Genomic DNA, 12,733 nt, shown 5'->3' on the forward strand with positions numbered 1-12,733 from the left:
CGCTTGTTGAACAAGGTTAAAACGTTTCCTGCTAACTTGTTTCAGAATGTATTCTGCTATATTGTGTTATTGGAACATTTGCTGTCCTGCTATTTTAATTTTATTTCAGATATTTTTGTCCTTTATTAAGTCGCTGTCATTTTTAAGTGTATAGATTTTACTTAGGTGTTTCCTCTTTGGCCTCTTGAGCAACTTTTCCTTTATAGCAGAAAGTTTACCTATTAGAAAACCGTGATAATTTAGAGAGAAGTTAGGTCATCTGCAACTGATCCTGCCTGTGGTTATAGAAGTTAGTTAGCTTGCATTTTCTGGGAAATTTTTCATAACAGATAATTCTGTATTTGCCAGACTCAGAACAGATCCTACCAGTAAATGAGATAAGTTCATCTTTTCAGTTTAGACTCCAGGCCTTTTGCTGCGCTTATGTTTTATATAGTCTAAAGTTCTTTGCTTATGGAAGTTGATTTATTTGCCCCCCCTTTTTTTTACTGGCATGTTTAAAACAATTTTACCTTTGAACGGAATTTGAAAAAAAATGCAGTGCATTCCTGCAAGCAGTGCTTATAATTGTGGTTATAATCACCAGTAATTAGAATTTCCTAATCTGCCTTTAATTGTGCCATTCTTGCCTCTAGAACTGAGGCCAACTGTATAGTTCATTTCCGTATTTATTTGGATATTTATTAAGTGTTGACTGTAGGTCTAGCTGGGTGCTTGGACAGAGTGATCAGATGTAACACGCAGAATAATATGCAATTTCTGCCCCACAGGTATCAAATTTGGGAGATAAGATCTACACAGAAGTAGTATTACACATGATATGTCAAATGAGTGTTATCAGTAAAAGGAATTCAGTAGGACAGAGAAGGACATTTTGCTTTTGAGTTCTCTAAAAGATTTCATTGAGATGGTGAGACTTGATCTGGGCTTGAAGGGATGGGAGTAAATTTTTAGTAAAGTAGGATGAAAATATTGGCTTAATCAAGAGCAAAGGCATGGAGATGTAATGGGTATGTTCTATTGGAGGAAAATAATTAAATGGCAACACCAAATTTGTATTAGGCTCATAGTGGGAAATAGTGGGAAAGCCTTGTACAGGGAATGGTGGCATGGGGTTGCTTGCATGCATTCAGTAATGCAAAAGAGGGCCAACAGCCAGGATGCTGTGACAGAAAGCTCAAAGCCTAGGAATCAGAAGAGCTGAGTTCTGGCACTTTTGATGTCTTTCCACTTAGACCTATATTCTCTTTAAGTGAGCAGTTTAAACAGAGAGAGTGTAGGTTCCTTATGGTTAATATTCTTTAGTTCTGTTATCAGAGATGGAATGACAGCTTCTGTTTTGTATTACCTGAAGAGCTTTGTATGGCCTGGTGTAGCAGATGGAGGTTACTTGCTGTAAAAATCTCCTGAACCCATTCCTCTGTCACTGATTCATTCCATTGTTTGTCATATTCATTGCATTTCTACGTAGGGGAGTGTTAAGCCTATTGATTATTGCCTTCTGGAAATAAATTAGTCAGATTACCTAATTGAGATCAGATGGAGTGGAGCTTTGTTTTAGGGACAGTATAAAGGAATGGTTTTGATTTTGGGGAAACTTGGAGTGCCGGCTTTGGATAGAGAACATTTATAGCCAGTGAGGTCGATGACATAGGAGGGAGGTTCATGACATCTGGGGGAGGGGCAGAATATTTGGATTATTATAAAGGTTAAAATAGAAGAGTCCAAACATCTGGCATCTCATCTGTCTCTAATGTAGTCCCTGGTTACCTTTATTTCTCTTTGGATATAGTGATTGAGAGGATCAGTTCTTCTGGGTGATTTTTGCTGGTGTCTTTATTTTGTTTGTGGTTATTGGGAACTCTCATAACTAAGAAAGTTGCATTTAGATGACCTGTTTGCAGTTGTAGAATAATGATTTGGTATGTAAATCTCATAATAGGGCCTTCATCTTCTGTCATGCCTAACAGATCTGACTTGGTGGTTGGAGTAATTTTTCTACCAACAAAAAACCCAAAAATCTCACCTGTATTTTTCCTGCCAATTGGTGTATTCACCAGTCTCAGGTTTAGGATCAGTCCCTTTTTGTTTGTGGTTGGTTTCTAGGAGGAAACAATGTACAAATACTGAGTTAAAAGTAGGGTTGGGCCACTGGAGATACAAAGAAAAATCTTTTTGCCTTAGTCATCAACAATGGAAAAGCATTTGGTAAAGTAACTTTGATGCAGCAGTATGTGTCATTGAGTAGTTACAGAAAGTTTTTCTTAATAGGAATCTGGATTTTATTATTAAAGAATGTCATTATAGAGGCTGGGTGTGTTGGCTCACGCCTGCAATCCCAGCACTTTGGGAGGCTGAGGCGGACGGATCACCTGAGGTCAGGAGTTCAAGACGAACCTGGCCAACATGGCAAAACCCCATCTCTACTAAAAATACAAAAATTAGCTGGGTGTGGTGGTGCGTGCCTGTAATCCCAGCTACTCGGGAGGCTGAGGCAAGAGAATCACTTGAACCCAGGGGGTGGAGGTTGCAGTGAGCCAAGATTGCGCCACTTCACTCCAGCCTGGGTGAAAGAGCGAAACTCCGTCTCAAAAAAAAAAAAAAATGTCGTTTTAGAACTGTACTCTTTATTTTTAGAGACAGAGTCTTACCCTGTTGCCCGGGCTGTAGTGCAGTGGTAGGATCATAGTTCACTGCAGCCTCAAACTCCTGGGCAAGAACTGTACTGTTTTAAGAATTTACAAAGAATAAGAGTTGTCTGAAAAGTGTAGAGGGGAAAATTTCAATAAATGATAGCCACTGTTTACTGAATACTTACTATGTTGCAGGCATTATATATACATTATAATCTTTAATTCTCACCAAATTTCTAATGTGTAAGTAGTAGTATCAGTGTTTACAGGGAAGAAGTCAGGCCTGGAGGGCTGAAGTGCCTTCCCTGGGTCACCTAGTCTGTATGTAATAGAAACAGGATTTTTACCAGGTCTATTGGGCCTCACATTTCTGTATTTTCACCTGACTATTAAGGATAATAAGGAGATTGACATGTAAATAAACACAGGGCCATGTGCTGCATTGAAGTATTGTCCAGGTATGGAAGAAATACAAAGGGAGGGAATGATCAAGTTGACCTTGGGGTAGAGCACTTAGAGAAAGATTCCTGGAGAAAGATGACACCTTAGTAGGATACTGGTGACCATCTAAAAGTTCTTTGGGTAGAAGAGAAGGATTAATGACACTAGTGATTCATTGTCTATATGTTTTCTTCTCTGTTTAACAAGAGCAGAATGATCTGGTTCATCTCTACTGTTGACTCTCTTCATCACAGTCTCTCTTGGCCTTTTATACACCAAGATGATCCTGCTGTTCCCATCCCAGTTTTTGTTAGTTTGATCATTTTCACACTGTTTACATTTGTAATATTTAGTACTGTTTTGTAGAGATAATTCCTATAGTTGTTTACACATATTTTTATTTTTAAATAGAATCGTGCATGTGTGTACTACCTGTGTGTCCGTGAGTTTATATATTTATTTAACCACGAATTCTTTGTTTTGATTCATCTGTTGGTTGAGTCCTGAGTCTGAGTATTTAAAGATAATACACTTCTTGAGTCCCATTTTTTTCCAAGAGCTCTGAAGACCCCTCTGCCATGTGTCCCAAATAATTATCTATATATGTTATATATGTAGATCTCTATACAGATCTTTCTATATATACATAGAGAAATTTCTCTATATAAATAATTTATCGATACATACATTTATAAATAAATCTACTCAGGTATATAGAAAGATAACTATACAGAGAGAGATGAATCAAGGATGAATCAAAACAAAGAATTTAGAAATGGACAGGCTGTGGTTAAGTAAATATGTAAATACATACTAGTAGTACCCACATGCATATCATATATATGTATACAGTTTTAAGAGTGCTTTACATAGATGTTTAACTTAGGATTTTTGACTTTATAATGGTGTGGAGGTGATATGCATTCTGTAGAAACTATACTTTGAATTTCAATATTTTTCAGGGCTAGCAATATTCATAATGAAACTCGGTGGTGCTGAGCCAAATATCTCATGTAATTTATTGAATACGGTATTGAAAGGGTTCTGAGCACATTTAAGGTAGGCTAGCCTAAGCTACGATGTTTGGTAGTTTAGGTGTATGCATTTTCAACTGAAGATATTTTCAATTTACCATCCTAAGTCAAGGAGCATTTGTATATTAAGGATATTGTCCTTTTGTTTTTGATATACATTGCAAATATTTTAAATTCATTATTTGTCTTTGGAATTTGCTTCTGATGTGTTTAACCATGATACATTTTTTTTCTTTTGTTGCATAATGCCTTAGAGCTGCCTTAAAAAACTGATTGGAAGCTTTATGTGCAAAGATAAGGCTTATTAATAGTCAAGGATTTTGATGTATCATTCTGTGAGACCTTTTGATTTAAGAGAAGAATCTACCAATTTCTTAGTAGAGATGGAGGCTATGGAGTGGGGCCTTTTTCAGTTCGGAGATCTTTATTCTTCTATTTTCTTCCCTGCCCGTTGCCGTGCCTGGTATTCTCAATTCCGAATATTCTTTGTTGTTGTTGTTGTTGTTTTCCCCACAGTAAATCTCCATTCTCATGCTCTAGTGGGGGTATGGTATTTGCTTGGCTGTATGTAATGGATTGGGGACCTCGGGATCTGTTTTTTATTCAGTCTTTCAGTCAGTCTAGATTTTAGCCTCATGTATCACTACTGTGTTGGGAAGTCATGGAGCTCCAGATGCCTGAGTCCTTTGGGAATTATTTAGTGAGAATTGGCTTACTTGTGCAGACACTCAGGATCTGTGTTTGCTCCGTGCCGTTGATGCTTTCATCTATTTTTTTTTTCTCATTTGCTGCCGACTTCTCTCAAGTTCTTTAACTCATTTTTATTAAATATTATTTATTTTCATTTTAGTAGGTTTTGGAGGGGAGGAGAGAGAAACATGTGTTTAATTCACTGTATTTAACTAGAAATCCAGGTGGTTCTTTGTACGTACTGTTTTTCCCCTTAGGCTCTACTTTGTAGGCAGTTGGATGGCTCTCAAGTGAGGCTTTTTAGGTTCACAGTATTGCACTTTTGTTTAAGTTTGTTTGCCAGTACCCAGATGATTCTGATGTTTCAAATCAGTTGCCTCTTGCCCTCGTTTATGCTAAGTTTAACTTCAGGGAAGCAAATTTTTTAAGTTTCAAGGCAAGAATTCTTTAGTTGATGCTTAAAATCTGGTTGCAGTTTTAGGATCTCTGCTTTCTCCCCATGGTTGATCAGTTTCACAGTATTCGATGTAGCCTGTGTTTGGCCATTATAGTTTTTTTGTAGTTTCATTTTTAGGGGTGTCTAATCTTTTGGCTTCCTTGGGCCACATTTTTTATAGTTTCATTTTTAGGGGTGTCTAATCTTTTGGCTTCTGTGGGCCACACATAAAATACACTAACAATAGCTGATCAGCTAAAAAAAAAAACTGCAAAAAATCTCATAATGTTTTAAGGAAGTTTATGAATTTGTGTTGGGCCACATTAGGCCATGCGTTGGACAAACTTGTTTTAATCGAATCCTCCTTCCTGTTTTTTTTCTTTCTCTTTTTGGTGGTTTTCAAGAAGTTGAAGTAAACATACCTTTATTCCTTTCTTTTAAAATGCATGTACTACAGTTTGAAAAACATTGTACAAAATCATATATTTCATTTAGGAAATTGAATACCTGGAGGATTAGCTGTGCCAAAATCTTTTTCCCAATCCTTATAAAGTTCGGCATGAGGTATAATTCTAGCCTCACTCATTTGGTTGCAGTGAGTTTCACATCACAGTGAAGGGAGGACAGTTCCTGTGAGAACACATGTGTTGGAACTAGAGAGCTGCCAAAACGTCTCTTTCACCACCCATCTTATTAGTTGTCTCTCACAGTGCTTCTGTTCCTGTCTACACTCTAGCTTCATGTGGCCTTCTTTCTTGTGCTTGCCTATAGTTTCTGTTCTCTCGTAAGTTCAGCTTACACCTGAGCCGTCATGGACACCACTGTCTCTCTTTTACTTACTTTTGACCTTTCTGCTTAAGCTCTTTACTGCTGGCCAATATAGTCTCTCACTGTTTCTTAATCATATTTCCAAAAAAAAAAAAAATTGATTGGCCTATGCCATCTTTTTGTTCCACTTCTGATTTGTGCCTAGCCAAACTATAAGTTGGCTATCTGGGTTCAGGTTTCCAAACAGCTTAGTGGTGTCAGGGGAGGGAGCAGTAGGACAGCAGGGGAACATGGTATATCTGAGGACTGTCTTAGCAGCAAGAAGGCAGGGATGGGACACTTCACCTTGGTAAGTGAGGGGGCAGAACAGAGCTGAATACATCAAATAGTCCCTATTTTATTATGCTAGTTTATTTTTAATGGAGTACTTCAGGCAAATACTTAGTAGTGCAGATTGAATAATGTAGGAAACTAGCTAATTTTTAAGTGTCAAAAATTGACTGCAAAAACCTGTACCCCGATCTGATGCTAGTTTCTGTTTTCATTATGACTTCAGTGCCATGGTGTGGCAGAAAGACCATTAAAGTAGAAGTCAGGAGTCTTAGATTCTAGACCTGTTTTTGCTGTTCTGAAAGGCTTCACGTTCTGCATCAGATAAAATTTTAAGGTTATTGAGGTAGAATAGTGTCTAAGGTGCTGTTTAGCTATAAAACTTGTGACTCACAGTGTACTATACCAAGTTGGTAAAGGTAATTTCCACAAGAGTAGTCAGATTACAAAGCTTGTAATAACATGAAATCATGAGTACAGGTTAATGTAAAAAATTAAAAACGAGAATACCTGGACCAGTACATCAGAGAGAGATACAGGAGTTTGTAGTGGACTGCATCCCTCTCATTTTAACTTGTTTTGTTTGATGAGGAGATCATCTTCATAAACTGATACAAAAGTCAGATATTATAATCACAAAATTTTCCTGACTTGAGTTGCACATAAACAGTGTAATGCAGTAAGTGTAATATTGAAGTTTCAAACGCTTTTTGATTTTCCATGCTTTTTAAAAGCCATAGCTGGATATTCAGAATAGTTAAGTAACTTGAGTTTCTTTTGTTTTTTAGGATTTAAGTGCCCTGTATGCTCAAAATTTGTATCCTCAGATGAAATGGATTTGCATCTTGTAATGTGTTTAACAAAGCCACGAATAACCTATAATGGTAAGTCCAATGGTTTAAAATAATATTTTAAGTTAGAATTAACTTACATTTTATGAATTTCATGTTTCAAGTATAATTTAAAAGGAGGGAAGGACATTGTTTTCTCTATTTTTACTAGTGCATTAATGCAGTGGTTCTCAAATTCTGTGATCTCAAGACTTCTTTACACTTCAAAAAATTACTGAGGACTTCAAAGAGTTTTTCTTTACTTGGGTTATATCTATCCATATTTGTCATAAATTAAAACAGAATTTATAATTTTTAATTTATTTTGTTAAACATAAATATAATTATGTTGACAACTTTTAAATGAAAAGTAAATTTTCTAAGACAAAATATTTAGTGACAAGAGTGGCATTTTCAGGATTTTTACAAACTCTTTAATATCAGGCTTCATGACAAGGAATTCTCACATCTGCTTCTTCATTCAGTTTATTGTGATATGGCACGTCTTGTGTCCTCTGGAAAACTCTGCTGCTATACTGGAGAGAATGGGAATGAAAAAGGCAGATATGGCCAGGCACAGTGGCTCACACCTGTAATCCCAGCACTTTGGGAGGCCGAGGTAGGCAGATCACCTGAGATCCCAAGTTTGAGACCAGCCTGGCCAACATGGTGAAACCCCATCTCTACTAAAAGAAAAAAAAAAAGAAAAAAAAAAATTAGCTGGGTGTGGTGGTGCACACCTGAAATCCTAGCTACTCGGGAGGCTGAGGCAGGAGAATCGCTTGAACCCAGGAGGCGAAAGTTGTAGTGAGCCGAGATTGTGCCACTGCACTCCAGCCTTGGAGACAGAGTGAGACTCTGTCTCAAAAAAAAAAAGAAAAAAAAACAAAAACAAACAAACAAAAAAACAGATACTTAGTGTTACCATGAAAATAGTTTTTACTTTGTTAATCTAAAAGGATTTCAAAGGCTCTTCCACTTCTCCTACTGTACAAGATTCTTTGGACCACAGTTTGAGAACTGCTGCATTGAAATAAAATCTTTTGGGTTAAGCCTAAGTAAAATGTAATGTTCATAATGGCCATTTTCAAAAGTAAGTAAGCATGGTTGAAATTGCAACTTTTTTCTTTTTGTTTAAGAGTATAGAGTAAATGAAGGGAACATATATGAGGAGTAGGGAGAATAAAAGTTTATTCAATAGTAAATAGATGCCTAATGGGAGAAAAAAGTCATTAAGAGAAACCCAAAACTCTACCTATGCAGTGCATATGTGTCTCTGTCTTTCCTCCCATATACAAATTTAGTCTGTGAGCTCTGGAGCGAACTGGTATTTTTTTAGGTCTGGTGTTTTAGACTGTACCATTCTTTCCTGACCAAAATCTCTAGATATTCCAAAACCTAGGAAAGATTTTAAATGTAGCCTTGGCATACTTTGGAATAGACTTGGGGGGGAAAAATCAAGTAGTTCTGTCCTAACCAATGAATAGAATAAAATGAAGGAAAAATGAAAGTTGTTTTCAAAATTTTATAAAGAAACAGACTTCAAAAGCTTAAGAGAAATTTCATTTTTTTTAAATATAAATTTTGGCCTGAAATAAAATGTGTAGAAAGGGTACCAGTAAACACTATAGCCAATTGAAAGATTGGCTAAATTCAACATATATTTTGAGCATCAATTATGTGCGAGGTACTGTGTTAGGAATTAGAGATATAGCAGTGAATGAACAGAAATGGAGCTTACAGCCTACTAATAGTAATAGTCACTGATTTCTTTGAGCTAAGAATTATTGGTTAAATAAAAAGGTTCTATGAAAAACTTAGTAGATATAGCAGCACTTATCTGAGCTTTCTCCTCAGGTAACAAAAATGTTGGGAGGGGTAGAATTTAACATTGAAATGAGCATATTACTTTTGGTAGTGTTTTGCAAGTTGATCTAAGAATCAGTCTCTCAATTCTTCCCTTTCCTTCACTTTTTCTAGTATGGTGGTGCTTCAGCCACCCTATTACAGGGTTGACAATAGAGCACTTTTTGCCATTCATTTGCTGATGAAATGTGAAAGTGGTTTTAAGCAGTTACTTGGCATAATAAATGTATTTGTTGATTATATCCTAACCTTTTTGCATTATGAAATTGAATTGGCTACTTTGCATTATCTACTTCAAGTTTAGTTATTTAAGAAATAGAAAGTGTTCTCATTCAAAATTTGTGACTAAAAGTATATGGGTTTGTTTTTCATACCTGCTCCACTATCTTATATTCTATAATTGTTTATGTTTAATATGAGTGCCTTTAAATATCCATAAATCTTAAAGCTTCTGGCTTTCAATTTGAAAATCACAAATATATTTGACCATATAATAATATATTTACACACAGTCTTAGTATTCTGTATGTTTACTTTTTGTGTAATATATCTAGAATACAGTCTTCTTGTGTATTGTGATATTTAACAATTTTTTTAACTTTTAAGTTGAGGGGTACATGTGCAGGTTTGTTATATAGGTAAACTTGTGTCATGGGGGTTTGTTCTACAGATATTTTGTTACTCAGGTATTAAGCCTAGTACTCATTAGTTATTTTTTCTGATCCTCTCCTTCCTCCTACTCTCCACCCTCTGGTAGGCTCCAATGTGTATTGTTCCCCTCTTTGTGTCCATGTGCTCTCATCATTTAGCTCCCACTTACAAGTGAGAACGTGCGGAATTTGCTTTTCTGTTCCTGTGTGAGTTTGCTGAGGATAATGGCCTCCAGCTCCATCCATGTTTCCACAGAGGACATGATCTTCTTTTTTATGGCTGTGTAGTATTCACACGGTATATATGGACCCACATTTTCTTTATCCAGTCTATCATTTGATGGGCATTTAGGTTGATTCCATGTCTTTGCTCTTGTGAACAGTGCTGCAGTGAACATATGCATGCATGTGTCTTATAACACAAGGATTTATATTCCTTTAGGTGTATACCCAGTAGTGGGATTGATGGGTCAAATGGTATTTCTGTTTTTAGGTCTTTGAGGAATTGCCATACTGTCTTCCACAATGGTTGAACTAATTTACACTCCCACCAACAGTGTGTTAAGTGTTCCTTTTTCTCTGCAGCCTCTCCAACATGTATTTTTTTTTGACTTTTTAATAATACGCATTCTGACGCTTGAAATGGTATCTCCTTGTGGTTTTGATTTGCATTTCTCTAATGATCAGTGATGTTGAGCTTTTTTTCATATGATTCTTGGCCACATTTATGTCTTCTTTTGAAAAGTGTTCATCTCCTTTGCACATTTTTTCATGGGGTTGTTTGCTTTTTTCTTGTAAATTTGTTTAAGTTCCTTATATATGCTGGATATTAAACCTTTGTCAGATGCTTCGTTTGCAAAAATTTTCTCCCATTCTGTAGGTTGTCTGTTCACTTTGTTGATAGTTTCCTTTGCTGTGCAGAAGCTCTTTAGTTTAATTAGATCCCATTTGTCAATTTTTGGTTTTGTTGCAATTGCTTTTGGTGCCTTTGTCATGAAATCTTTGCCTGTTCTTATGTCTATAATGGTATTGCATAAGTTGTCTTCCAGGGTTTTTATAGTTTTGGATTTTACATTTAAGTCTTTAATTCATCTGGACTTAATTTTTGTATGTGGTTTAAGGAGGTTGGCGTGGGGTAGGGGTCCAGTTTCAATCTTCTGCATATGGCTAGCTAGTTATCCCAGCACCATTTATTGAATAGGGAATCCTTTCCCCATTGCTTGTTTTTGGTCAGGTTTGGATATTTGACAGTTCTTAATTTCCTGATTTAACTATGCCTAAGTCATTAAACTGTTCTGCTAGATCACTTGTTTGGTGTCTTAAGAACTAATATATAACCTTCTGCTTGGGGATACTATAACAACCAAATATTTCGAATTTTAAATATTTAACAGTATTTCAATCTAGAAATTAATAAATTTCATGCAATAAGTAAATAAACTTGTAGGCATTCTTAAAGTTGCTGACTGAAAGCTTTAAAAAATAAAAATATATATATTTTTGTTTTTAGAGTCAGGATCTTGCTGTGTTGCCCGGGCTGGAGCTCAGTGGCTATCTATAGGCACAGTCATGGCACACGACAGCCTCAAACTCCTGGGCACAAGTGATCCTCCTACCTCAGCCTCCTAAGTAGCTAGGACTACAGGTGCATGCCACCATGCCTGGCTTTTATTTTTTATTTTGTAGAGATAAAAAATTCAAAGTATGTATTAATTGTATAAACATTCACAGCAAGAAGCAAATACAGCTTCTTAATAAAAACCGTGTATAGTTTTTGAGGTTTTAAAACTAGCTCTTGGACAGTGGCCAGTTATGAGTAAGTGAAGGAGAAAGGAGCTTTGCCTGGACTGATTTGGAGGGTTACAGAGAGGTGGCAGGTTAATAATGTACTTTCCTATCATAGGCAAGGGGAATTCTAATGCCACCTGGTTTTAAAGTCAGACCCCCCCCAAAATGTCTGTCACAGGTGATGAGTCCAAATGGAAATTGGCTCCTTTAATACCTCATAAGCAAACCATCTAGGATTATTATAAAGTAGAACAAGGTAAAGCCAGAGAATCTCTAAAACTGAATCTTTTTAGTCAACTGGATTCCTCACAATTTTATATTTGAATTCCTACATGTTGATTCCATAGAGAGATACATCAGATACATTGGGCCTCTGAATTGTGTTAGTGCTCAAACAAGAACATTTTTTTCAGCATACTGTTCATTTAACTTACACTTTTGCAGCCTTTTCCAAAGTAGCTAGATCTGAAATTTTGAAATTTATTTGTTAAGTGAATGTTAACTGTCTATAAACATTCATAGTTATAACACAAGAATAGTGGGGCTTGTTTTCTTCAGACTGGATATATTTATATAGATAAGCTCCTGAATTGGATGAGTTCCAGAAATTCAAATATAAGTTGATGATTTAGAGTTTCAGACTCTTTGTCACAGAGATGATATTTGAAATATTGGTTTTTCAGACTAGCTCACCAAAACCTTCTTATTTTTTTAAATGCACAATATATCTGAACACCCACATCCTGGTACCTGAAGAAGAAATTGGCTGACTAGGTAGAAACTCTCAGGGATTGGGCAGCTGGCTCGGCAGAGATCCCAATGGGACGCCCAAGGCTGTCAGGGCAGGGAAGGATTTTGAATGATGTGGGTGGTATTATCTATTGCAGATGGTATTTTGGCAGCTTGAAAAAATTAAGAATGCCACAGTGAGTATTCAACAACATAGATTACCTTCATGTGAAGGACTGCCTGTTTCATATACTTTTCCCTCTTTCATGTGCTTCATTGTTGAGTTTATGGACCTAATAATTCCTTGTATAGTCTATGAATCTAATACAAATTTTATGAGTATAGAGGCTCTCTTCATTTCCTTGCTCCTTCTAGGATATTTCAGACAAGCCAACAAATTAAATATTATTAGCAAATTCTTAGTTTTTTTAAAAAATTTTATTATGTGTACATAATAGTACATTTATAGGGGTCCATGTGATATTCAGATACAAATGTACAATGTGTAATGATCAAATCAGGATAATTGGGACATCCA

At 36.2% G+C, this 12,733-nt stretch overlaps 1 protein-coding gene across 4 annotated transcripts in view, besides 2 other annotated features; it reads left to right on the forward strand.

The window, feature by feature from the left end:
- The window catches only part of ZNRF2 (zinc and ring finger 2), an 83,093-nt gene that overhangs the window by 31,925 nt on the left and 38,435 nt on the right, over positions 1-12,733 (forward strand). For 3 of the 4 annotated variants that reach the window (XR_007059991.1, NM_147128.4, XM_047420048.1), the window contains exon 2: positions 7,121-7,216. Coding sequence is in view for 2 of the 4 variants with exons in the window: in NM_147128.4 (NP_667339.1) it covers positions 7,121-7,216 (96 nt within the window). In the remaining 2 variants the exon portion in view is untranslated. Of the gene's footprint in view, positions 1-7,120; positions 7,217-12,733 lie in introns of those variants that run through there. The other variant, XR_926925.3, reaches the window with a different exon arrangement.
- Positions 2,320-2,488: a silencer, noted in NCBI's record as "fragment chr7:30358457-30358625 (GRCh37/hg19 assembly coordinates)". NCBI's record gives its function as "represses an EF-1alpha promoter that drives an FKBP-Casp9 reporter gene in an ReSE screen in phorbol 12-myristate 13-acetate-treated (for megakaryocytic differentiation) K562 erythroleukemia cells {active_cell/tissue: K562(+PMA)}" and the evidence as "EXISTENCE:reporter gene assay evidence [ECO:0000049][PMID:32094911]".
- Positions 6,228-6,277: an enhancer, noted in NCBI's record as "active region_25810". NCBI's record gives its function as "activates an Ori minimal core promoter by ATAC-STARR-seq in GM12878 lymphoblastoid cells {active_cell/tissue: GM12878}" and the evidence as "EXISTENCE:reporter gene assay evidence [ECO:0000049][PMID:35858748]".

Source organism: Homo sapiens, chromosome 7 (assembly GCF_000001405.40).
Source record: "Homo sapiens chromosome 7, GRCh38.p14 Primary Assembly".
Lineage (NCBI taxonomy): Eukaryota > Metazoa > Chordata > Mammalia > Primates > Hominidae > Homo > Homo sapiens.